Source organism: Homo sapiens, chromosome 15 (assembly GCF_000001405.40).
Source record: "Homo sapiens chromosome 15, GRCh38.p14 Primary Assembly".
In the NCBI taxonomy this organism is placed as follows: domain Eukaryota; kingdom Metazoa; phylum Chordata; class Mammalia; order Primates; family Hominidae; genus Homo; species Homo sapiens.
In genome coordinates, this window is record NC_000015.10 from 41,386,364 (window position 1) to 41,413,403 (window position 27,040).

The 27,040-nt window shown below is 46.6% G+C and overlaps 1 protein-coding gene across 11 annotated transcripts; it reads right to left on the minus strand.

The window, feature by feature from the left end:
• On the minus strand, window positions 990-16,663 carry NDUFAF1 (NADH:ubiquinone oxidoreductase complex assembly factor 1). Of its 11 annotated transcripts, none has more exons than NR_199359.1 (6): window positions 16,084-16,133; window positions 10,124-10,777; window positions 8,496-8,681; window positions 7,902-7,995; window positions 2,085-2,159; window positions 990-1,230 (listed from the first exon to the last, which is right to left on the minus strand). NR_199359.1 is itself a non-coding variant. In XM_047432637.1 (5 exons), exons 2-5 carry the CDS (start codon window positions 10,694-10,696, stop codon window positions 1,081-1,083), a joined length of 984 nt encoding a protein of 327 aa, XP_047288593.1. In that variant the 5' UTR covers window positions 10,697-10,777; window positions 16,128-16,663; the 3' UTR covers window positions 990-1,080. The 11 variants fall into 11 exon arrangements, 7 of the variants coding, with proteins under 7 accessions (XP_047288593.1, NP_001424418.1, NP_001424415.1 ...); NR_199360.1 differs by having other exon boundaries at window positions 15,781-16,133; NR_045620.2 differs by having other exon boundaries at window positions 7,742-7,995; window positions 15,781-16,133.

Here is a 27,040-nt window from a genome sequence, read left to right on the forward strand (position 1 = left end):
TCGCACCACTGCACTCCAGCCTGGACAACAGAGGGAATTTCATCTCAAAAAAGCAAAACAAAATGAAATTAGAAGAAATCTAAATGCAACAGAGTGGTAGAAGGCCATTAACAGTCATCTCAGAGACTCCTGCCTTAGAAACTACTCATATAGGAAATGTTCCTAACAGCAACTGTTCTGAGCAAAAACACTAAGTTATTTACATAGTACATTTACATCAGTACTTGCATTCTATGAGATAAAGTACACCAGAGAACCTGGTTTCATGCTGTGTTCCCCTTATCCAGTCCCTCTTAGCAATAGCCTTTCTTTGTGGGTTTTTTTTTTTTTTTTGAGACAGAGTCTCGCTCTGTGGCCCAAGCTGGAGTGTAGTGGCGTGATCTCAACTCACTGCAACCTCTGCCTCCGAGTTCAAGCAATTCTCCTGCCTCAGTCTCCCAAATAGCTGGGATTATAGGCATGTGCCACCACACCTGGCTAACTTTGGTATTTTTAGTAGAGACGAGGTTTCACCATGCTGGTCAGGCTGGTCTCGAACTCCAGACCTTAAGTGATCCGCCCGTCTCAGCCTCCCAAAGTGCTGGGATTACAGGCGTGAGCCACAGTGCCTGGCCAGCAACAGCATTATAACTTGTCTTAGAGAATACATACTAGCCAGCCAGGCGCGGTGGCTCACATCTGTAATCCCAGCACTTTGGGAGGCCAAGGCGGGCGGATCACCTGAGGTCAGGAGTTCGAGACCAGCCTGACCAACATGGAGAAACCCTGTCTCTACTAAAAATACAAAATTAGCTGGGCATGATGGTGCATGCCTATAATCCCAGCTACTCGGGAAGCTGAGGCAGGAGAATAGCTTGAACCCAGAAGGCGAAGGTTACGGTGAGCCGAGATCACGCTACTGCACGCCAGCATGCCAGCCTGGGCGACAGAGCAGAACTCCATCTCAAAAAAAAAAAAAAAAAAGAGAGAGAATACATACTAGCCATTGGTTGGATGCCATTAAAGAAATATTTTATTTTGTCTATATCATTGTAGATGCTAGTACCCTTAGATTAGTAAAACAAAACTACCATATGATCTTTATTTAAAAAGCCTTGGGTTAAGCTCTGGAGAATTTTCATAGGCAAATTCTTCTGTATGAGCTGGATCAGTAAACACGCCAATAAAATCTATCTCCAGGAAGAATGGACCATCCACTTTATCAGCCAAGGTGAATCCTATAGAAGAGATCTAAATTTAAAATACAGAAATTGATTAAAATCTCATACAGTGACGTACTGAGATTATTCCAGGAGTTTAAAATCCCATCAGGTGATGATTATAACTGGGTTTTAATGCTATCAGCCCTTAGCAAATACTACTAATTCTCCCATAGCATACTGTAAGAGGAAATACAAGACTGCTTTTCTTTCCTCATTCAACTTCCTCCCCTCTCCTCATTAGGTAGTGCCACTTAAGACTAGGAAGGACGGCCGGGCGTCGTGGCTCAGGCCTGTAATCCCAACACTGGGAGGCCAAGGTGGGCAGATCACAAGGTCCAGTTAAAAACCAGCCTGCCCAATATGGTAAAACCTCGTCTCTACTAAGAATACAAAGATTAGCCAAGTGTGGTGGCAGGCACCTGTAATTCCAGCTACTCAGGAGACTGAGGCAGGAGAAATGCTTGAACCCGGGAGGTAGAGGTTGCAGTGAGCCGAGATCATGCCACTGCACTCCAGCCTGAGTGACAAAGCAAGACTCCATGTCAAAAAACAAAAAGACTAGTAAGGACGACATGAATGCCTAATGGAGTTCCTTGAAGCGTTCATAAACTCTTATTTTAAAGCTAAATTAGGAGAGAAGGGAGGGGGGAAAATAGCTAAAGTAAAATGTAGGCATGCTAAAAAATGATCCTTCTAAAATTCCTTCAGGATGGGGGTATGGTTCATAGGAGAGGTCTAAGTCAGCCTCTGGCTGGGTATAAGAGCAGTGGCCCTGAGAAGAAATATTCATCTGCCAGCCTTCTCAAATGAACTCAGTCTCCCCAGAGTTCCGATTCATTAAAAATGATACAGTTCTGAGTGAAAAATACAGGAATATGTTACCTTATCAAGCGGAAGCTCATGCTGAACATCCCGGATTCTTCCTCGATTAGAGAAGAAAAATTTGGAAAAAGGAATCTGAAAGAAGAAACCATTTACTTCATAACTGAAATGTAAGCAATTGAGGCATCTGCATGTAATTGTAACGATAAAATGAGTTTACATTTATTCTAAAATTATGTCATATATGTATTATGACAAATGGCTAGCCATTTGGATCAAAGATATAACTCAGGCCAAACGATAAAGGGTTAACTATGAAAAAAATATTTGTAACATTTATGGAAAAAAGACTAGTATCCTAAACACAGCTTTTTTTTTTTTTTCTTTCTGTGGAGAATGGGGTCTCACTTTGTTGCCTGAACCCGGGAGGTAGAGGTTGCAGTAAGCCAAGATCACACCACTGCACTTCAGCCTGGGCGATAGAGCTAGATTCTATCTCAGAAAAAAAAGAAAAAAGAATTTTAACGTTTCCCTTCCTTCCTACATTAGAAACTGAACTAAAAGAAATGTCCTATTCCTTCTACTCTTGAACTTTCAAGTGTGCCTTTTTATTCATCAACTTTATTTTCATATTTCTTCTCTATGTAATTTACTTATTATTAAGCACGATCTTTTAAAACTATATCTGGCTTTAATTGTTTGTGTTTTGTTTTGAGATAGGGTCTCACTCTGTTACCCAGGCTGGAGTGCAGTGGTGCCATCTTGGCTCACTGCAACTTCCACCTCCCAGGTTCAAGCGATTCTCCCACCTCAGCTTCCTGAGTAGCTGGGACTATAGGCGCACACCACCACACCCGGCTAATTTTTTTTTTTTTTTTTTTTTTGGTAGAGACGGTGTTTCACCATGTTAGCCAGGCTGGTCTTAAACTCCTGAGCTCAAGTAATCTGCCAACCTTGGCCTACAGGTATGAACCACCACACCCTGCCTAAATAATTATACAGAAGCTCTCCAGGATATATTCCTAAATTTTAAAAACACAAAAAACAGGTACAGAGTATGCTAATTTTATTTATATTTTGAGTTTAACAAAGGAAGAAAATGGCTGGGCCTGGTTGTGCATGCCTGTAATCCCAGCACTTTGGGAGGCCAACACAATAGGATCAACTGAGCCCAGGAGTTCAAGACCAGCCTGGGAAACACGGTGAAACCAAGACTCTAGTAAAAAAACAAAAAACTTATCCAGCCATGGTGGTGCATCCTTGTAGTCCTGGCTATTCAGGAGGCTAAGGTGGGAGGATCACCTGAGGCTGGGAGGTTGGGGCTACAGCGAGCCCATGCTGCACTCCAGCATGGACAACAGAAGAGAGACCCTGTCTCAAATAAGTAAATAAATTTTAATGAACATAAATAAAAATGAATTATACATATTAATAGTTATTCCAGTAATTTTATCTCTAGGAATATAGCCTATGAAAATAGTTAAGGATGTTTACCTCAGAGTTTGTTCCGACAGTAGAAAACTCTGAAAACAATCTAAATCTACATGTACATAATGAAGAACAAGTTAAGAAAAAAAAATTTTTTTTTTTGAGACAGGGTCTTACTCTGTCACCCAGGCTGAAGTGCATGCAGTAGGGTGATCTCAGCTCACTGCAGCCTTGACCTCCCAGGCTCAAGCAATCCTCCCACCTCAGCCTCCTGAGTAGGTGGGACTAAAGGCACATGCCACCACACTGGGCTAATTTTTGTATTTTTGTAGAGACAGGGTTTTGCCATGTTGCTCAGGCTTGTCTTAGACTCCTAGCTTCAAATGATTCACTGCCTTAGCCTCCCAAAGTGCTAGGATTACAGATGTGAGCCACTGGACCCAGCCAAAATTGTTGTCTACTTATATAATATCATGCAGACATTAAAAATGATGTAGAAATATATTTGAAGAGAAAGTTGTAAACAATAGTTCAGTGAAAATACTGTATATATGTTATAAAACACCACTGGAAGGGAAAAGTGTGACTAGAAAAGTGTAGAAGATACATATTAAAAATAGTATTTTTGTGCCAGGCGCGGTGGCTCACGCCTGTAATCCCAGCACTTTGGGAGGCCAAGGCAGGCGGATCACGAGGTCAGGAGATCAAGACCATTCTGGCTAACACGGCGAAACCCCGTCTCTACTAAAAATACAAAAAATTAGCCAGGTGTAGTGGCAGGTGCCTGTAGTCCCAGCTACTCAGGAGGCTGAGGCAGGAGAATGGCGTGAACCCGGGAGGCGGAGCTTGCAGTGAGCAGAGATCGTGCCACTGCACTCCAGCATGGGCAACAGAGCCAGACTCTGTCTCAAAAAAAAAAAAAATAGTATTTTATCTGCTGGGTATGGTGGCTCATGCCTGTAATCCCAGCACTTTGGGAGGCCGAGGTGGGCGGATCATGAGGCCAGGAGTTCAAGACCATCCTGGCTAACACGGTGAAACCCTGTCTCTACTAAAAATACAAAAAATTAGCTGGGCGTGGTGGTGGGCACCTGCAGTCCCAGCTACTCGGGAGGCTGAGGCAGAATGGTGTGAACCTGGAAGGCAGAGCTTGCAGTGAGCCGAGATCCCGCCACTGCAGTCCAGCCTGGGCGACAGTGCGAGACTCTGTCTTACAAAAATAAAAATAAAATAAAATAAAAATAGTATTTTATCACTGGATAGTGGTAGTACAAGATTTTTTTCTGTACTTCCCAAATTGTTTTTATAATGAAGTAGTTATTTTGTATAATAATTCATTATATATATATTACTTAAATACAAGTATATATAATTTGTGTTATATATCTGTATTACTACATATATATGTATGTATTGAGTGCTTATTTTGTGCTAGGCACTAGGACAAAATTCTAGGTACAGGGGAAACTGGTAGGAACAATATAAGCAAGATCTCTGCTCTCACAGAATTTACAGAATTTAGGGCCAGGTGTGGTGGCTCAAACGCCTATAATCCCAATACCTTGGGAGGCGAGTCGGGTGGATCACTTGATGTCAGGAGTTCGAAACCAGCCTGGCCAACTTGGTGAATGAAACCCCATCTCTCCTAAAAATACAAAAATTAGCCGGGCGTTGTGGTACACGCCTGTAGTCCCAGCAGGAGGATCTCTTGAACCTGGAAGGCAAAGGTTGCCGTAAGCTGGAATCACACCACTGCACTCCAGCCTGGGCAGTAAGAGTGAGACTCCATCTTAAAAAAAAAAAAAAAAAGAATTTATATAATTTATGTTCCAGGGAAGGCAGTAGAGTGACAATAAACAGATGAATGAATGAACAAAGTAATTTTAGTTAGTGATAAGTTCTATGAAGAAAGTTATAGGATGGTGGTGTTGAAATAACTGGATTAGAGGGTCCAACTTTAGTTACAGGAATCAGGAAAGGCCTCTCTGAGGCAACTTTTGAGCCGAGAGGTGAATGACAGGAAAGAGAAAGCAGGTGAAGACATGGGGGCAGAGCATTACAGCAGAGCAACACTAAGTGCAAAGCTCTGAGATGGAAATGAGGTTGTTAAATCTGACAGAAAAGGGGCTGGTGTGGAGGAAGGAGGTAGGAGGAGAGATGGAAGATGAAGACAGGAGGAGAGATGGAAGATGAAGACAGGGGTCCGATATTGTAGGCCCATAGGCCATGTGCAGGAGTTTGGACTTTATTCTTTTTTTTTTTTTTTTTTTTTCTTGAGATGGAGTCTTACTCTGTCACCCAGGGTGGAGTACAGTGGCGCGATCTTGGCTCACTGCAACTTCCACTTCTCAGGTTCAAGCGATTCTCCTGCCTCAGCCTCCTGAGGAGCTGGGACTACAGGCGTGTGCCACCACCTGCTGCTAATTTTTTGTATTTTTAGTAGACACAAGATTTCACCATGTAGACCAGGCTGGTCTCAAACTCCTGACCTCAAGTGATCTGCCCATCTCAGCCTCCCAAAGTGCTGGGATTAAAAGCATGAGCCACCTAGCCCAGCCTGGACTTTATTCGAATTGTAATGGGAAACCACTGAAGGGTCCTGATATGGTTTGGCTGTCTCCCCACCCAAAATCTCATCTTGAATTGTAGTAATCCCCATGTGTCAAGGGAGGGACCAGGTGAAGTTAACTGAACCATGGGTGTGGTTTCCCCCATACTGTTCTAGTGACAGTGAGTTCTCACAAGATCTGATGGTTTTATAAGGAGATTACCCCTTCATTCGGCTCTCATTCTCTTTCCTGCCACCATGTGAAGGAGGATGTGTTTACTTCCCCTTCTGCCATGATTTTATAAGTTACCTAAGGCCTCCCCAGCCCTGCAGAACTGTGAGTCAATTAAACCTCTTTCCTTTATTAATTACCTAGTCTCAGGTATTTCTTCATAGCAGCAGCACGAGAACAGACTAATACAGCTTACATGCTTAGGAGGTACATTTACATGCTTACAAGCATGTAAATGATGTCATCTGAACTATGCTTCAGAAAGATAACTCTGGCTGCTGTGGAGCCAGGATTTTAGTGGGGCAAGAAGACAAACAGGGAAATCAATAATGAAGCTGCTGCAATAATCCAAACACCTGGACCAGGGTGGGAGTAGAAGAGATGGCTAGAAATGGTCAGCTGCTGAGTGTATTTTGGAAGCAGAGGTGACAGGACTCGCTAATAGACTGGATGTGGGGCAAAGGAGAAGAATTCAGGATGACCCTCAAGTATATGACATGAGCAAAATGGGGACTTTCTTGTTGAGTTTTTTTTTTTTTTTTTTTTTGAGACGGAGTCTTGCTCTGTTGCCCAGGCTGGAGTGCAGTGGCACGGTCTCAGCTTACTGCAACCTCCACCTCCCAAGTTCAAGCAATCCTCCTGCCTCAGCCCCCCTAGTAGCTGGGATTACAGGCACACACCACCATGCCCGGCTAATTTTTTTTTTTTTTTTTTTTTTTTTGAGACGAAGTCTCCCGCCCAGCCTGGAGTGCAGTGGCACGATCTGCAAGCTCTGCCTCCCGGGTTCACGCCATTCTCCTGCCTCAGCCTCCTGAGTAGCTGGGACTACAGGCACCTGCCACCAAGCCCGGCTAATTTTTTTTGTATTTTTTTAGTAGAGACGGGGTTTCACTGTGTTAGCCAGAATGGTCTCCATCATCTCCTGACCTCGTGATCCACCCGCCTCAGCCTCCCAAAGTGCTGGGATTACAGGCGTAAGCCACCGCGGCCGGCCTTTTTTTTTTTGAGATGGAGTCTCACTCTGTCGCCAGGCTGGAGAGCAGTGGCCCATCTCGGCTCACTGCCACCTCTGCCTCCCAGGTTCAAGCGATTCTCCTGCCTCAGCCTTCTGAGTAGCTGGGACGACGCCACCACACCCAACTAATTTTTTTATTTTTAGTAGAGACAGAGTTTCACCATGTTGGCCAGGATGGTCTCGATCTCTTGACCTCGTGATCTGCCCACCTCGGCCTCCCAAAGTGCTGGGATTACAGGCATGAGCCACCGCGCCTGGCCTCTAATTCTTGTATTTTTAGTAGAGATGGGGTTTTGCCATGTTAGCCAGGCTGGTCTCAAACTCCTGATCTCAGGTGATTTACCCACCTTGGCCTCCCAAAGTGCTGGGATTACAGACATGAGCCACCACGCCTGGCCTAGGACACTACTTTTTTTTTTTTTTTTTTTTTTTTTTGAGACAAAGTTTGGCTCTTGTTGCCCAGGCTGGAGTGCAATGACACGATCTCGGCTCACCGAAACCTCCGCCTCCTGGGTTCAAGCAATTATCCTGCCTTAGCCTCCCGAGTAGCTGGGATTACAGGCATGCGCCACCACGCCCAGCTAATTTTGTATTTTTTTTAGTAGAGACAACAGGGTTTCTCCATGTTGGTCAGGCTGGTGTCGAACTCCCAACCTCAAGTGATCCGTCCGCCTTGGCCTCCCAAAGTGCTGGGATTACAGGTGTGAGCCACCACGCAGGCCTAGGACACCAACTTTAGCAGAGTTGCCTGGAAGACATGAAATGGCAGAAACTTCTAAAAAACAAACAAACCCCATCTATTTGGACACAGAGCAGAGATGTGCCTGTGACTTAGCATGGACCTGGCCACATCCATATCAAAAATATTCACTAGTTAGTATGTTAACATTTATATTAATGAAACAAAATTCATTTATGTCTCTTAACCTTTCTTCTACCCACCCACCCCCACCTTCCAAGAAAGATTAGTAACAAAAAAGAAACTACAATGTAACAATCATCTCCAAGACTTTTTTTTTTTTTTTTTTTTTTTTTTGAGACAGAGTCTCATCTCACTCTGTTGCCCAGGCTGGAGTACAATGGCACGATCAGAGACTAGGTTTCACCATGTTGGCCAACCTGGTCTCGAACTCCTGACCTCAGGTGATCCACCCACCTCGGCCTCCCAAATTGCTGGGATTATAGGCGTGAGCCACCTCACCCAGCCAAGACCTCATTTTTATAAACAATGAAGATTTATGCTGTTACCTTGACCTCCTGCCAGTAGGGTCCCCCGCGGGTGAACATGAAGTAACTATACATCTGATTCGTCCTCTGGAAGAAATCTGTGTCCTCCTTGATATTCACCATCCAAGGCCGACCATCCCCACGTACACGGAGATACAGAGTATTGAACTGGGACCAATCGTAAGACATCTTCCTCTCAAAAGCACCCTAAGATATTGAAAGTAAAGTTCATTGTACCTCATTCTCCATTATTAGCAAAATGTGAGTCATCACCAAGTCAGCATCATCAACAGGATGCACTAACCATTTTTCTGACTTTCTGCCCCATAAGAAGGCACATAAACCCAGTGATTATTATTTTAGCACAAAATACTGACATAGTTATATGTTTCTAAGGTAATGTTCAACACACAACTGGCCCAGGACAGTGTTTACATGGGGTAGGCACTCACCTGTGTTCAATGAATGGAAATGAATGTATTTCCTTTACCTGGTCGTATGGAGCAATGACTTTTTCTTTTCTTTTCTTTTCTTTTCTTTTTTTTTTTTTGAGACGGAGTCTTGCTCTGTCACCCAGGCTGGAGTGCAGTGGTGCAATCTCAGCTCACTGCAAGCTCTGCCTCCTGGGTTCACACCATTCTCCTGCCTCAGCCTCCCGAATAGCTGGTACTATAGGCGCCCAAAACCACACCCGGCTAATTTTTTTGTATTTTTAGTAGAGACGGGGTTTCACCGTGTTAGCCAGGATGGTCTCGATCTCCTGACCTGGTGATCCGCCCACCTTGGCCACCCAAAGTGTGGGGATTACAGGCATGAGCCACTGCGCCCGGCCTTTTTTTTTTTTTTTTTTTTTTGAGACAAAGTTTCGCTCTTGTTGCCCAGACTGGAGTGCAATGGCACGATCTCAGCTCACTGCAACCTCTGCCTCCAGAGTTCAAGCAATTCTCCTGCCTCAGCCTCCCAAGTACCTGGAATTACAGGCATGCACCACCATGTCCAGCACTCTGGGAGGCCAAGGGTGGGGTGGATCACCTGAGGTCAGGAGTTCAAGACCAGCCTGGCCAACATGGTGAAACCCTGTCTCTACTAAAAATACAAAAATTAGCTGGGCGTGGTGGTGTGCACCAGTAGTCCCAGCTACTCAGGAGGCTGAGGCAGGAGAATCGCTTGAACCTGGAGGGCGGAAGTTGCAGTGAGCCGAGATCACGCCACTGCACTCTAGCCTGGGCGACAGAGCAAGACTCCGTTTCAAAAAAAAAAAAAGAAAGCCACAGGCTAACCCTACATCCACTCTACAAAACCCCTGGTCATTACAGAGGTTGTGGTCTTTTTTAGAGGAGATGAAAATCTCTCCAAAAATCTTTCAAATGTCTAACCTCTCAGGATTCCTGAAACATAACAATGCTCGTTCCTGGCCCAAAGCAATGCGCAGAAACAAGTTAACTCCTCCTCCTCAGAAACCACTTCCCCCTTGTGCTTCCACTTCACACTTGTGCCAATAGTTACTTATCCCCAGACACAGGTGAGGTGCCAAATATAACATGCCAGGTGTTTTCATTTACAGAAACAAAAGCTATCTTCTATAGTTTATGCTACAATGAAGTTCACCCCTGTTTACTAGAAAACGATGGCTCCTGGGCCTCACCTACCCTTGGAATCCTGGATATCATTGCACAGTACCCACTTCGGGTAGACTCCCCGTCCTGAGGCGCCTCAGAGCTCAGAGTTCCATATAGCAGTGCACTTTGGTTATTCTTGCCCATTTTCAAAAACACTTCACTTCTGCCTCCAATCGTCTTATCAGAAGTCACTGTCCACTTATCCAAATCTTCTTTCCCCCGGAATTGCCAGACAACCTTGGCTTGTTCCAGCAAGACCTCATGCAGAGGGTGGCCTTCCGGTCCTCTCCAATGATCCACAATTTCATCCTTCAAAAGCCTAAAATGGTATATTGCTTCATCTCTAATTGCTTTATCGAAACTAACATCAGGCTTCTCCTCAGAAGAAGTTATATCCAAAGCAACTTCTTTCTGGTGATCTCCTTGCAAATCCCCTTCAGTCTTCCTCTGTGAGGAGGCTTTGCCAGGAGAAGCCACTGGTTTCTGAAGACTACTGGAATACTCTGCAAAGCGAATACCCAAAAATGGATACAAGGCAGAAGTTGGCTTAGAGAATTTTCTGAGAAAATAAGTACCACGCAGCAATTTGTGAACCAAAGCCATGGTACAAAAAAATCAAAATGTAAGTTTCTTCCTGGGCTAGCAAGGGCCACCAAGAAGCTTCAGCAAATAGCCCAATTCTACCTATAACAGAAGAGACATTGAAGAATTATCAGCATAGCAATGAATGCATCACAATTTCAAATTCAACAGAAATCAGGTATTTTGAAGTTTGTTAACTTATTTGTTTACTATTATTATTATTATTATTTGAGACAAGGTCTTGCTCTGTGGCCCAGGCTGGGTACAGTGGCACAATCACAGCTCACTGTAGCCTCTACTTTCTGGGCTCAAATGATCCTCCCATCTCAGCCACCCAAGTAGCTGGGATTACAAGCACACACCACCATGCCCAGCTAATTTTTAAATTTTTTGTAGAAATGGATCTCCCTGGCCAGGCACGGTCCCAGCACTTTGGGAGGCTGAGGTGGGTGGATCACGAGGTCAAGAGATAGAGACTGGGCCGGGCGCGGTGGCTGACGCCTGTAATCCCAGCACTTGGGGAGGCCGAGGCGGGTGGATCACGAGGTCAGGAAATCGAGACCATCCTGGCTAACACGGTGAAACCCCGTCTCTACTAAAAATACAAAAAATTAGCCGGGTGTGGTGGCGGGCGCCTGTAGTCCCAGCTACTGGGGAGGCTGAAGCAGGAGAATAGCGTCAACCCAGGAGGCAGAGCTTGCAGTGAGCGGAGATCCCGCCACTACACTCCAGCCTGGGCGACAGAGCGAGACTCTGTCTCGGGAAAAAAAAAAAAAAAAAAATTGAGACCATCCTGGCCAACATGGTGAAACCCCGTCTCTACTAAAAATACAAAACTTAGCTGGGTGTGGTGGTGCGCACTTGTGGTCCCAGCTACTAAGGAGGCTGAGGCAAAAGAATTCCTTGAACCTGGGAGGAGGAGGCTGCAGTGAGCCAAGATCGTGCCACTGCACTCCAGCCTGGCAACAGAGCGAGACTCTGTCTCAAAAAAAAAAAAAAAAAAAAACAGAAAGAAAGAAAAAGAAATAGATCTCCCTGTGTTGCCCATGATGGTTTTGAACTCCTAGGATCCAGTGATTCTCCCCTCGGCTTCCCAAAGTGCTGGGCTGTAGGAATGATGCACTGTCCCCGGCCTTTTTTTTTTCTTTTCTTTTTATAAGAGACTGGGTCAGGCCAGGTGTGGTAGCTCACGCCTGTAATCTCAACACTTTGGGAGGCCGAGGCGGATGGATCACCTGAGGTAAGGAGTTCGAGACCAGCCTTGACAACATGGTGAAACCCCATCTCTACTAAAAATAATCCAGGCGTGGTGGCAGACGCCTGTAATCCCAGCTACTAGGGAGCCTTAAGCAGGAGAATCACTTGAACCCAGGAGGCAGGGATTGCAGTGAGCCGAGATCACGCCACTGCACTCCAGCCTGGACAAGAGCAAAATTCCATGTGAAAAAAAAAAAAAAAGAGACAGGGTCTCTTGCTCTGTCACCCAGGCTGCAGCGCCGTGGCAAGATCGATAACTCATTGTAGCCTTGAACTCCTGGGCCCTGGACTGAAATGATTCTCCCACCTCAGCCTCCAAGGTAGCTGAGACTACAGGTGCACACCACCATGCCCAGCTAATTTTTTTAAAAAATGTTGGCCGGGTGCCGTGCATCACACCTGTAATCCCAGCACTTTGGGAGTCCAAGGTGGACGGATCACTTGAGGTCAGGAGTTCAAGACCAGCCTGGCCAAAATGGTAAAACCCCATCTCTACTAAAAATACAGAAATTAGTTGGTCATGTTGGAGAGCGCCTGTAATCCCAGCTACTGGGGAGGCTGAGGCAGGAGAATCACTTGAACCCAGGAGGCGGAGGTTGCAAGTGAGCCGAGATTGCACCACTGCACTCCAGCCTGGGTGACAAAAGTGAAATTCCATCTCAAAAAAAATAAAAAAACCAAAAATTGTAGCCCGCCACAGTGGCTCACACCTGTAATCCCAGCACTCTGGGAGTCTTAGGCAGGCAAATGACTTGTCGTCAGGAGTTGGAGACCAGCCTGCCCAACATGGTAAAACCCCGTCTCCATTAAAAATACAAAAATTGGCCTGGCACGGTGGCTCATGCCTGTAATCCCAACACTTCGGGAGGCCAGGGCAGGCGGATCACCTAGGACAGGAGTTCAAGACCAGCCTAACCAACATGGTGAAACCCCTACAGAAAATACAAACAATTAGCCAGGTGTGGTGGCCCATGCCTGTAATCCCAGCTACTTGGGAGGCCTAGGCATAAGAATCGCTTGAACCCAGGAGGCAGACGTTGCAGTGAGCCGAGATCGTGCCATTGCACTCCAGCCTGGGCGACAGAGTGACTCCAACTAAAAAAAAAAAAAAATTAGCTGGGCATGGTGGTGGGCACCTGTAATCCCAGCTACTCGGGAGGCTGAGGCAGGAGAATCGCTTGAACCTGGGAGGCAGAGGCTGCAATGAGCCAAGACTGCACCATCGCACTCCAGCCTGGGCAACAAAAGTGAAACTCTGTCTCAAAAAAAAAAATACAGGCCGGGCGCGGTGGCTCACGCCTGTAATCCCAGCACTTTGGGAGGCGGAGGCGGGCGGATCACGAGGTCAGGAGATCGAGACCATCCCGGCTAAAACGGTGAAACCCCGTCTCTACTAAAAAAATACAAAAAATTAGCCGGGCGTAGTGGCGGGCGCCTGTAGTCCCAGCTACTCGGGAGGCTGAGGCAGGAGAATGGCGTGAACCCGGGAGGCGGAGCTTGCAGTGAGCCGAGATCCCGCCACTGCACTCCAGCCTGGGCGACAGAGCGAGACTCCTTCTCAAAAAAAAAAAAAAAAAAAAAAAAAATACAAAAATTAGCTGGGTGTGGTGACGGGCACCTATAGGGTGGTGGCAAGCACCTATAATCCCAGCTACTCGGGAGGCTGAAGCAGGAAAATCGCTTGAACCCAGGAGTGGGACGCTGCAGTGAGCCAAGATCAAGCCACTGCACTCCAGCTTGGGCAACAGAGCAGGACTCTGTCTAAAAAATAAATAAATAAAAATAAAAAATTGTAAGGCCAGGCGCAGTGGCTCACGCCTGTAATCCCAGCACTTTGGGAGGCCAAGGTGGGTGGATGACAAGGTCAGGAGTTTGAGGCCAGCCTGACCAACATGAAGAAACCCCATCTCTACTAAAAATACAAAATTAGCCCGGTGTGGTGGCGCACAACTGTAGTCCCAGCTACTTGGGAGGCTAAGGCAGGAGAATAGCTTGAACAGGAGGTGGAGGTTGTGGTGAGCCAAGATCACGCCATTGCACTCCAGCCTGGGCAACAAGAGCAAAATTCCATCTCAAAAAAAAAAAAAAAAAAATAGAGATGAGGTCTTGTTATGTTGCTCAGACGAGTCTCTAACTCCTGGGTTCAAGTGATCCTCCTGCCTCAGCCTCTGGAGTACCTGGGATTACAGGCGTGAGCCACTGCACCTGATGAATACCACTCCTAATACTTTTTTTTTTCTTTTTTGAGACAGAGTCTCACTCTGTCACCCAGGCTGGAGTGCAGTGGCACGATCTCGGCTCACTGCAAGCTCCGCCTCCCGGGTTCACGCCATTCTCCTGCCTCAGCCTCGCGAGTAGCTGGGACTACAGGCGCCCGCCACCATGCCCAGCTATTTTTTTTTTTTTTTTTTTTTTGGATTTTTAATAGAGACAGGGTTTCACCGTGTTAGCCAGGATGGTCTCGATCTCCTGACCACGTGATCCACCTGCCTTGTTCTCCCAAAGTACTGTGATTACAGGTGTGAGCCACCATGCCCAGCCTACTCCTAACACTTTCATATCACCCTGATATATATTATCTCATGCCATCCACACACAAATCCTATGAAACAAGTCAGATACGTATTTCCTTTCTGTAGGATACAGACACCAATAGGTAAAATGACATTATCAATACTTTTTTTTTTTTTTGAGACGGAGTCTTGCTCTGTCACCAGGCTAGAGATCTCCGCTCACTGCAATCTCCGCCTCCTGGGTTCAAGCGATTCTCTTGTCTCAGCCTCCTGAATAGCTGGGATTACAGGCGGGCGCCACCATGCCCGGCTAATTTTTGTTTTTGTTTTTGTTTTTTCAGTAGAGATGAGGTTCCACTATGTTGGCCAGAGTGGTCTCGAACTCCTGACCTCAGGTGATCCGCCTACATGGGCCTCCTAAAGTACTGGGATTACAGGCGTCAGCCACGGCGCCCAACCTTTTTTTTTTTTTTTTTTTTTGAGATGGAGTCTCGCTCTGTCACCCAGGCTGGAGTGCAATGGCACGACCCTGGCTCACTGCAACCTCCGCCTCCCGGGTTCAAGTGCTTCTCCTGCCTCTGCCTCCCGAGTGGCTGAAATTACAGGTGCCCGCCACCATGCCCAACTTTTTTTTTTTTTTTTTTAAGACAGAGTCCAGCTCTGTCCCCCAAGTTGGAGTGCAGTTGTGCGATCTCGGCTCATTGTAACCTCCACCTCCTGGTTTCAAGCAATTCTCTTGCCTCAGTCACTGGGATTACAGGCGTGCGCCACCACGCCCAGCTAATTTTTGTATTTTTAGTAGAGACAGGGTTTCACCATGTTGGCCAGGCTGGTCTCGAACTCCTGACCTCAAGTGATCCGCCCGCCTCGGCCTCCCAAAGTGCTGGGATTACAGGCGTGAGCCACCGCGCCCAGCCGACATTATCAATAAGGTTTGTTGATAAATCAAAACCATGTAAACAGTATGTTTTCACATGTATTATAAACGTTAAGGGAACCAGGAAAAATTAACAGTTGATCTGAGGTCCCGGAATTATGGATAATATTTAAATTCCCCCGCGCCGGTTGCACTTAAATGATTTTACCTCTACACATACCGAAATTTGAGAAACAAATGATAGCTCATAAAATGTTTTCCAAACCCTCCGTAGTGTTACTTCTCTAATAATATAACTTTAATTATAAATGCTTTGTTTCATTTTTTTTTTTCTACCAGTAAACAGAAAATCTAAACTATTAACTGGACAATACCGCCCTGAGGTTGACGGTGGGTTTTGACAACACAATCCACGCAGCTAGAAGTGAGTAGAATTAGTAAAGCTATCCATGCCTTACCATGTGCCAGAAACTGCTCTAAGTGTTTCACTGACGGCTCACAACAATCCTGAGAGAGGTACTATTATTATTTCAATTATAGAGACGAAGAAACTGACGTTCCAAGGCTAATTTACCCGAGGTCACACAGGTAGTGAGTGGCAAAATTCTTCCGCCTTGGCGTATACCTCCCGCACTCACGGCCTGGCCTCCGGAGGCTAGACGGTTCGCCGCGCTGGGGAGGCCCCCTCAACCCTCAAGTGCCAGGGCTCTGTCGCCTCCCCACACCCGGGACACACCAACCGCCGGCCTGCCGCCGCTTACCTCCCCGAGCCTATAGTGTACCTTCCGCCCAGAAGCCACTTTACCCGTATAGGTCCATCTGCTTTTCCCTTCCGATGCCAAACAAGGCGTCAGAACACCAAAGTTCCGGCCGAGTACAGAAGCCCAGGAAGGACAGCAAGGACCCCGTAGCCCAGCCAACTGAGGTTTTTGGAGGTTTTTGGTCCACTTGGTCGCCAGTTGTAAGGAAGCAGTGAGAATTCAGATAAGTTTTTCGCCTCTCCTTCCTGTATCCTTTCAGGCGGCAAACTCCATCCCTGCGTCTTTTTTTTTTTTTTTTTTTTTGAGACGGATTCTCGCTCTGTCGCCCAGGCTGGAGTGCAGTGGCGCGATCTCGGCTCACTACAACCTCTGCCTCCCAGATTCAAGCGATTCTCCTGCCTCAGCCTCCCGAGTAGCTGGGATTACAGGTGCGCGCCATCATGCCCGACTAATTTTTGTATTTTTAGTAGAGACGGGGTTTCACCATGTTAGCCGGGATGATCTCGATCTCCTGACCTCGTGATCCACCCGCCTCGGCCTCCCAAAGTGCTGAGATTACAGGCGCGAGCCACCAAGCCCGGCCCCCTGCGTCTTTCAAATAGAACCCAGTTATTGCTAACGCGCCTGTATCCCTTCCTTCCTTATCTGTCGCCTCGGTCCCCACAAGAACTGCCTGAGGCCTCAAAAGGCCGATTCTGCTGGAATTGCCCCCATGAATTCTTGAGGACCACCACGCACCTGGACAGCAGCCCCTCCTACCAGCCCTTCCCGAGTCTCGCCCCACACGGTCGCCAGTTGCTCAGGGCATCTGTTTGTACCTTGTGCACACCTCTCTTAAAGCACTTTTTTTTTTTGAGACGGAGTCTCACTCTGTTGCCCAGGCTGTAGTGCAGTGGCGCGATCTGCAACCTCCGACTCCTGGGTTGGAGCAATTCTCCTGCCTCAGCCTCCCAAGTAGCTGGGATTACAGGTGTGTGCCACCACACCCGGATAATTTTTGTATTTTTAGTAGAGATGGGGTTTCGCCATGTTGGCCAGGCTGGTCTCGAAATCCTGACCTCATGATCCACCCACCTCGGCCTCCCAAAGTGCTGGTATTACAGGCGTGAGCCACCATGCCCGGCCAAAGCACTTAAACATTGTTTGTTTTTGTTTTTTTTTCTTACTGCCAGGGAAGACAGAATCAACATTGTATCTTTCACTCACTTCTCACTTCCTTTGCCACGCTGTGAGCTTTCTTGGGTCCAGACTGCGCTGTTTTTCCTTTCCCCAGAATGTACCATAGCGGCGGGAATTTAGTGCTTAGTGTGAATTTGAGAGCATATAGTTCCGTAACACCTTTGTTCTCTAAGGTTCCGAAGGAGCTCACTAAATACACTAGCCCTTTCCATGTTTTCTCCTTCACTAGTTTCCGCGCCGCCTCCTCTTCCTCAAATTCGGCTTGGCTTCTCTAGACTCTACACTTGCCCCCTCAAACCTTACCTTTCTGCCCCCATCACTGACTCTTCTATTCTCTTCCCACAACCTTTAATGCGGGCTGTCTCTCCATGGCCCATCCTGCCTCTACCTCTTTTCTAGTTTCAAATATAAGTTATCGGCCGGGCGCGGTGGTTCACGCCTGTAATCCCAGCACTTTGGGAGGCCGAGGCGGGCGGATCACAAGGTCAGGAGATCGAGACCATCCTGGCTAACACGGTGAAACCCCGTCTCTACTAAAAATACAAAAAAATTGGCCGGGCGTGCTGGCGGGCGCCTGTAGTCCCAGCTACTCAGGAGACTGAGGCAGGAGAATGGCGTGAACCCGGGAGACGGAGCTTGCAGTGAGCCGAGATCGCACCACTGCACTCCAGCCTGGGCCACAGAGCCAGACTCCGTCTCAGAAAAAGAAAAAATCGAAATGTCTTTTTGTTGTTGTTTTTTAGGAAATATCCTTGAGCAATAAAGAAAACTAAATGTCTAAAACTAAATGTGTCATTTTTCCTCCTACTAATTCCTCCTGTCTCCCTATTTCTGTAAATGGCCACATCCTTCTAGGATGGAAATGCTTGACTGTCCTTGGCTCCTCTCCTTAAAATCTTCTCTTACTGATTTTAAATCCTGTTGCATTCTCTTGCTGTTTTTGATCTTTGATCTTTTCACACCTTCTTTCCAAGCCCACTGACACGTTTCTTGTTTTTTTGGTTTTTAAAATATAGTAGCCATCCTAATGAGTGTGAAGTGGTATCTCATTTTGGTTTTGATTTGCATGTCTCTAATCATTAGTTGTTTGCTGCTTTTTTTTTTTTGAACCACAGTCTTCCTCACCCAGGCTGGAGTGCAGTGGCGTGATCTCGGCTCACTGCAACCCCCGCCTCCCGGGTTCAAGTGATTCTCCTGCCTCAGCCTCCTGAGTAGCTGGGATTAGAGGTGCATGCCACCACACCCAGCTGATTATTGTATTTTTAGCAGAGTCAGGGTTTCGTCATGTTGGCCAGGCTGGTCTCCAACTCCTGACCTCAGTTGATCCACCCACCTCGGCCATCCAAGGTGCTGGGATTACAGGCGTGAGCCACTGTGCCAGGCTGTTTGCTTAAGTATAGGAAGCCCCATATGTATTTATTACCAGTGGAGAAAGGAAGGCTGGAAGAAAGAAAAAAATATTCAAATAGAAAGGAAGGACATGACAATGCCAGGCAGAAGAAAAGGTAGAGTCACTAGGGGAAGGAAATATAGGAAATAAAGGAAGGAAATAAAGGCAAAGAGCTGAGGGGAAATGATTATGTAGGTTAACCCAACCATGTCTGTAGCACCTTCTTCCTTGGCCTCCCAGACAGTGGTAGTGGGCTCCACCAAATCTTAACTATACCTTTGTTCACAACAAAACTGAAACCCAGCCAGGCAGGGTAGCTCACACCTGTAATGCCAGCACTTTGGGAGGCCTAGTCGGGTGAATCACCTGAGATCAGGAGTTCGAGACCAGCCTGGCCAACATGGTAAAACCCTGTCTCTACTAAAAATACAAAAATTAGCCAGGGGTGGTGGCGAGCACCCGTAATCCCAGCTACTCGGGAGGCTGAGGCAGGAGAATGGCTTGAACCTGGGAGGCAGAGGTTGCAGTAAGCTGAGATCTTGCCATTGCACTCCAGCCTGGGCGACAAGAGTGAAACTCTGCCTCAAAAAAGAAAACAACAACAACAACAACAACTGAAACCCATCCAAATTAGACATGGAGACAACAGGGGACCATCTATCTATTTGTGGACATAAGGCTGACAAATGCCATAAATGATAATATGACAAAGGGAACAAAGTGAGGGAAACTAAGAGCAGGCAACTACAAAGAGAAGCCCCTGCCTAAAAGGAAATGAACAGTAAGAGCATCATTCAGAAGCCTGGGACCAGAGGACATTGAAGCTGTTCTGAATCCGAATATGAATGGGTGAAGCCCTGTAGTCCCCTATATTGCAGGCAGTGACAAAAGAGGCAGAAGTGTTGTTCAGCCCTGGCCAACCTTAGAAGGTAGCAGGATCATTTTTTGTTTGTGTGTTTGCTTGTTTTGAGATGGAGTTTTCCTCGTGTTGTCTAGGCTGGAGTGCAATGGCGCAATCTCAGTTCACTGCAACCTCCACCTCTCGGGTTCAAGCGAATCTCCTGTCTGAGCCTCCCGAGTAGCTGGGATTATAGGTGCATGCCACCATGCCTGCCTAATTTTTGTATTTTTAGTAGAGACGAGGTTTCATAATATTGGTCAGGCTAGTCTGCAACTCCTGACCTCAGGTGATCCACCCGCCTCAGCCTCCCAAAGTGCTGGGATCACAAGCGTGAGCCACCGCGCCCGGCCTGTTTTTGTTGTTTGGAGACGGAGTCTTGCTCTGTCACCCAGGCCAAGGTGCAGCAGCCCAATCTTGGCTCACTGCAACCTCTGCCTCCCAGGTTCAAGCGATTCTCCTGCCTCAGCCTCCTGAGTAGCTGGGACTACAGGGGTGCGCCACCACGCCCAGCTAAGTTTTGTTGTTTTAGTAGAGACAGGGTTTCGCCATGTTGGCCAGGCTGGTCTCCAACACCTGACTTCAAGTGATCCACCCACCTTGGCCTCCCAAAGTGCTGGTATTACAGGCATGAGTCACTGCGCCTGGCCAGGAGGGTATTTTTTTGTTTGTTTGTTTGAGACCGAATCTCACTCTGATGCCCAAGCTGGAGTGCAGTGGCGTGATCTCAGCTCACTGCAACCTCCACCTCCCGGGTTCAAGCGATTCTCCTGTCTTGCCCTCCTAAGTAGCTGAGACTACAGGTGCATGCCACCACACCCAGCTGATTTTTTTTTTTTGGTAGAGACAGGGTTTCACCATGTTAGCCAGGATGGTCTCGATCTCCTGTCCTCGTGATCCACCCGCCCCGGCCTCCCAAAGTGCTGGGATTACAGGCGTGAGCCACCGTGCCCAGCCAGGAGAGCTTTTTCTTTAATTTTTTTTTAAGCTGCTGAGTTTGTGTTAAGCAGGATCCTAATGTCATTTCCAATCAGTATTAAATCAAATAATATATGTAAAATATTTGCATAATTATTGGAATTATTTGGTAAATGTACAAAAAAGCTAGCTATTATTGCTGAACTATAGGACAGTGTTCAACAGGTACACAGTCCAATAGAGGGCATGTCATCAAACAAATAACTGCAGCACAGTTAGAAACTATAGCAGAGGGAGGTATTAGGTACAAGACTGGCCCAAAGAAGGGTGTAATGAGTGCTTCTAGGCTAGACATTGAGTTTAACACTTCTCAGGCATTTTCTCTTTTCATTGTCAGAACAATTCTGTGAAGTAGGTACTCATATTACACCTATTTCCCAGGTAAGAAAACAGATGTTAAGTAACATGCTAGTCACATGCTTATCACAGCTGTTGAAGTAGCAGAGCTGGGATTCAAACCACGTCTGTCTGCTAAATCCAGGATACATGCTCATTATTCACTACATTGTATCATGTCTGCTCATCCAAGTTAGGGAGTAGTTCCTAGAGGAAGAACATGAACTGAGCATTGAAGGATAAGGCATTTAACAGACAGATGAGAGGGAGACGGGCACTCCAGGTGAGGGAACATGTATATGCAAAGGCAGGGAGTTATGAAACAGACCATGTGCCCACAGAAATGGAAGACTTCCGCTTGTCAGAATAGTGATGATTTCTACTGTCTTTTTTTTTTTTTTTCCAGACAGAGTCTCACTTTGTTGCCAGGCTGGAGTGCAGTGGTGCAATCTCAGCTCACTGCAACCTCTGCCTCCCGGGTTCAAGTGATTCTCCTGCCTCCCGATTAACTGGGAGTACAGGGGCATGCCACCACGCCCAGCTAATTTTTGTATTTTTAGTAGAGACGGGGTTTCACCATGTCGGCCAGGATGGTCTCCATCTCTTGACCTCATGATCCGCCCACCTCGGCCTCCCAAAATGCTGGGATTACAGGCATGAGCCATTGCACCCAGCCCGATTTCTACTGTCTAAAAGCAACATAGAGTCAAGCCCAGGGCCATGCACTTACCATACCATGTCTCTTAAGACTTACCATGGGCCTGACGCAGTGGATCATGCCTGTAATCCCAGCACTTTGGGAGGCCAAGGCAGATGAATCACCGGAGGTCAGGAGTCCGACACCAGCCTGACCAACATGGAGAAACCCCATTTCTACTAATACAAAAATTAGCCGGGCATGGGGGCGCATGTGTGTAATCCCAGCTACTTGGGAGGCTGAGGCAGGAGAATCGCTTGATTTGGGTGGGATTGACTCTAAATCCATCCTTAAGGGTTGTACTAACTGGTTTTATCCAATCAGCATATCTCACCTCTCCGGCCCCAGGGATTGGCTCAGAAGTTGACAATTAACTCAGGTAGTGCCAGGGAGGGCCAGTGACCTCTGGGAACAAGCAGCTTCTTCCTTCTTCCTTGGAGGCTACTGGAAGAGACCTCTGTCTTCCTCTGGGTAATGTAGTGAGAGCTATTTTGTAACCATGTGGACAGAACCTAGAGCTGCCTGCCTGTGGGTGAGTTGGGACACCAAGGATTAAGGCAGAGCCAAGAACAGAAAGAAGCCAGACTTCTGACACCATCTGTGCTGCTGAATCAGGCATTCCCTGAGGCCAGACCTGCTTCTGGACTTTTCAGTCACGTGAGCCAAGATTATGTTGTTTAAACTAGCTTGTGTTGAGTTTTCTGTTACTTGTAGCCAAAGGCATCCTAACTGATACGGCTGTGGAGGAAGAAAACAGAACATGAAGTCAGCATGCAAGAGGCTTATTTTTTTTTAAATATATATTTTATTTTTCTTGAGACGGAGTCTCGCTGTCACCCAGGCTGGAGTGCAGTGGTGTGATTTCCGCTCACTGCAACCGCCGCCTCCCAGGTTCAAGTGATTCTCCTGCCTCAGCCTCTTGAGCAGCTGGGATTACAGGCACGTGCCACCATGCCTGGCTAATTTTTGTAGTTTTAGTAGAGACGGGGTTGCACCATGTTGGTCAGGATGGTCTCGATCTCTTGACCTTGTGATCCACCCGCCCGGTCTCCCAAAGTGCTGGGATTACAGGTGTGAGCCACCGCGCCCGACTGACATTTTTACTTTTTTTTATTTTTATTTTATTTTATTTTTTTTTGAGATGGAGTTTCGCTTTTGTCGCCCAGGCTGGAGTGCAATGGCACAATCTCAGCTCACCGCAACCTCTGCCTCCCGGGTTCAAACGATTCTCCTGCCTCAGCCTCTGAGTAGCTGGGATTACAGGCATGCACCACCACGCCCGGTTAATTTTGTATTTTTATTAGAGACGGGGTTTCTCCATGTTGGTCAGGCTGGTCTCGAACTCCCGACCTCAGGTGATCCGCCTGCCTTGGCCTCCCAAAGTGCTGGGATTACAGGCATAAACCACCTTGCCCGGCCCACATTTTTTCTTTTTATATGAAAGAGATATGTTAAAAAGGAGCCAGGGCACCTGTAATCCCAGCTACTCAGGAGGCTGAGGCAGGAGAATCGCTTGAACCTGGGAGGCGAAGGTTGCAGTGAGCTGGGATCCTGCCACTGCACTCCAGCCTGGGCAACAGAGTGAGACTCTGTCTCAAAAAAAAAAAAAAAAAAAAAAAAAGGAGCCAGCTGAGAGAGACTGAAGGCACAGAAAATAAGAGCAATAACAATAATCAATAGAGTGATGCTTCTGAGAAACAGAAGTAACAAAACATAGGACATAGAAGGAGCTTTAGACAGAAGGGAATGCTCATCCATGCCTGCAACAAAGTAGGCGCTTAATAAATATTTGTAAATTGAGTAGATCAATGATTTGGGACCTTCTGAAAACTCCTCTATATTGATAGAGGAATTTATCACTGATTTATAGAAGGCTACTTTCTTCTGCATTTTGCATCTTGCCAAGTCATTCTCTGAGGTCACCCTAGCTTAGGCTTTTGAAATACCTTGTTATCACATGCATGCAGACTTTTTCAGGAAATGTAGAGACAGAAAAGAATCTCTGATCCTGAACTCTTTACATGATTTTTAGGCTTCTCTCTCTGTGTCCAGTGTTTTTCAAAATGAGTCCCTCTCATAACTTACAAGGAAATCACTCTAGGCATCTGTTAAAAATGCAGATTCTGGCCGGGCGCGGTGGCTCACCCCTGTAATCCCAGCACTTTGGGAGACCAAGGCAGGTGGTTCACGAGGTCAAGAGATTGAGACCATCCTGGCCAACACGGTGAAACCCTGTCTCTACTAAAAATACAAAAAAATTAGCCGGGCATGGTGGTGGGTGCCTGTAGTCCCAGCTACTCGGGAGGCTGAGGCAGGAGAGTGGCGTGAACCCAGCGGGGCAGAGCTTGCAGTGAGCGGAGATTGCGCCACTGCATTCCAGCCTGGGCGACAGAGCAAGACTCCTTCTCAAAAATAAATAAATAAATAATAATAATAATAATTTTAGCTGAGGTAGGAGGATAGCTTGAGCCCAGGAGTTCAAATCTAGCCTGGGTGACAGAGCAGAACCCCATTTCTAAAAATATAATAATAATACAAATTAATTAACACAAAAATACAAATAACTTTAAAGATATAAGATTGTTCCTATGGTAACATCCCTTTCACTCCTTGGTATTGTGATATGCTTTTCTGAAAGCTGTTTTTGAGTACAGTGTACACTTCAGGATATGTGTATATCCAATAAAAGACAGCCTCTGTTACATGTGCTGAGGTAGGAACAAAAGGTTATGAACTACAGAGCTATCCTGAGAGAGGCCAGAGAGAGGGCTGACCTTACAGCATCTTAAAATTAGTTCCCAGCTCAGCACAGTGGTTCATGCCTGCCCAACACTTTGGGAGGCCAAGGTGGGAGGATCACTTAAGCTCAGGAGTTTGGGATCAGCCTGGGCAACATATGGAGACCTCATCTCTACAAAAATAAAGAAAAATTAGCCAGGTGTGGTGGTGCATTTCTCTGGTCCCAGCTACTTGGGAGGCTGAGTTGGGAGATCGCTGGGGCCTGGGAGGTTGAGGCTGCAGTGAGCTGTGATTGTGCCACTGCATTGCAGCCTGAGTGACAGAGTGAGACTCAGTCTCAAAACAAAACAAAACTTTGAGATGATGGACACTTGCATAGGAAAAAAAAATTAGTTCTCACTTACCAGGAGGAAACAATTAAATACAAAGAAGCCAAGGATTCCCATTTAATATATACTCACCATGTGTATTTTAGTCATGGAACTCAGGCCTCTGGTGGTAGACATTACCTCATGGATATACAAAGCATTTTCTGACACTCCCTGGTGCCACCTTGGCGTGGCACTCAAACCAGTCTAACGCTGCAGGGAGAAACCACATTATAGGATAACACATGTTGCATGATCCTGTTTTGGGGTGTGTTTACATGTATTCCCTAAGAGGTCTGGAACAATACATACTAAACTAGTCATAGGAGTTTTTCCTGGAGAATGAGATTGGGAGAGAAGAGGGATGAGGGTGAGGACCTCCTTTTTATTTTATATACTTCTGGATTTGGATTTCTTATTTTGTATTCTAAAAAATAAATTTGGCTGGGCATGTTGGCTCATGTCTTTAATCCCAGCACTTTGGAATTCCAAGGCAAGAGGATCACTTAAGCCCAGGAGCTCAAGACCAATGTAGGCACCATGGTGAGACCTTGTCTCTACAGAAATATTTAAAAATTAGCCGGGCATGGTGGAGTGCCTGTTGTCCCAGCTGCTCTGTGAGCCATGATCCTGTCACTGTATTCCAGCCCGGGCAATGGAACAAGACTCTGTTTCAAACAAAACAAAACAAAAACCATAATAGTACATTATTTAAAAAAAAAAAAAAGTACATTATTTAAATCCAGGCACAGGGGCTCACGTCTGTAATCCAAACACTTTGGGATGTTGAGGTGGGAGGACTGCTTGAGCCACGAGTTCGAGACCAGCCTGGGCAACACAGGGAGACCCTGTCTCTGCAAAAAAAATACAAAAATTAGCTGAGTGTGGTGGTGCGCTGTAGTCTCAGCTACTCGGGAGGCTGAGGTGGGAGGACTGCTTGAGCCTAGGAGGTTGAGGCTGCAGTGAGCCATGACGGTGCCATTGTACTCCAGTCTGGGGGACAGAGCAAGACCCTGTCTTTAAAAAATAAAAATAAATACAATTGGCCAGGCATGGTGGCTCACGCCTGTAATCCCAGCACTTTGGGAGGCTGAGGCGGGTGGATCACCTGAGGTCAGGAGTTTAAGACCAGCCTGACCAACATGGAGAAATCCCATCTCTACTAAAAATACAAAATTAGCGGGGTGTAGTGGCACATGCCTGTCATCCCAGCTACTCGGGAGGCCGAGGCAGGAGAATTTCTTGAACCTGGGAGGCAGAGGTTGTGGTGAGCCGAGATCGTGCCATTGCACTCCAGCCTGGGCAACAAGAGCAAAACTGCCTCAAAAAATAAAAAATAAAAAATAAATAAATAAATAAAAATAAATACAATAAATAAAGAGACTTTCAATACCTACAGTAAGAGGTCAAGGAAAGCTGAGCCTGAGGATAATCATCAGAGTAGCCGGAGCTCCAATAAGCTTAAACTCCCAAGCAAGGCAGTGTGCCTAAGCCAAAGGCCAGGCCCTAGTTGAGAAATAATGGGACCATGACAAATGGGATGGGGATATCTGGTTAATACCCCTAAAGAATTTGAAATCCCAGGTACTCCCGAACCCTCTGAACCTGCAGAAATGATCTTCCATCCAGCCTCCTCTCCTCCTTTTAGACACTGCAGAGGCTTGTCCCTGGCAGGACTGAAGGATTTCTCCTTCCCCTCAGAATCTGCTCTTACCCCTCTCCTGGCCACTAGACTTATATAGGGTTAAGTCACCACATAACCCAGTGGGGGACATATTGGGCCTAATAAAGGAGGAAAAGGACTATACGCCAAAAGAGCTGCAAGAACTAGCCAAGCAGGTGGTGGCAGGAGCTGGGAGAGTAGCAAACGACTGGATTCTGAGGGTGCCTGATCAAGAGGACCAAGTTGTAAGATTGGGCCGGATATGGTGGCTCATGCTATAATCTCAACACTTTTAAGAAACTGAGGCAGGAGGATCACTTGAGGATAGGAATTGGAGACCAGCTTGGGCAACATAGTGAGATCTTGTCCCTACAAAAAATAAAAATAAAAAAATTAGCAGGGTGTGTTGGCACATGCCTCTAGTCCCAGCTACTTGGCAGGCTGAGGTGGGAGGATTGCTTGAGCCCAGGAGTCTAAGGCTGCAGTGAGCCATGATCATACCACTGCACTCCAGCCTGGGTGACAGTGCAAGACTCTGTTTCAAAAAAAAAAAAAAAATTCCAAGATTAGATAATGGACAGTATTTTTTTTTTTTTTTTTTTGAGATGAGGTCTCGCTCTGTTGCCCAGGCTGGAGTGCAGTGATGTGATCTCAGCTCACTGCAACCTCCGCCTTCCAGGTGCAAGCAATTCTCCTGCCTCAGCCTCCC

Excerpts from the sequence above, each read along its gene's own strand:
- NDUFAF1 (XM_047432637.1), bottom strand. The coding sequence starts at position 10,696 with ATGGCTTTGGTTCACAAATTGCTGCGTGGTACTTATTTTCTCAGAAAA. Across the intron at positions 2,160-8,495 it reads CCTACTGGCAGGAGGTCAAG|ATTCCTTTTTCCAAATTTTT; the intron begins GTAACAGCATAA and ends TTCTTCTTTCAG. Across the intron at positions 1,231-2,084 it reads ATGAGCTTCCGCTTGATAAG|ATCTCTTCTATAGGATTCAC; the intron begins GTAACATATTCC and ends TTTTAAATTTAG.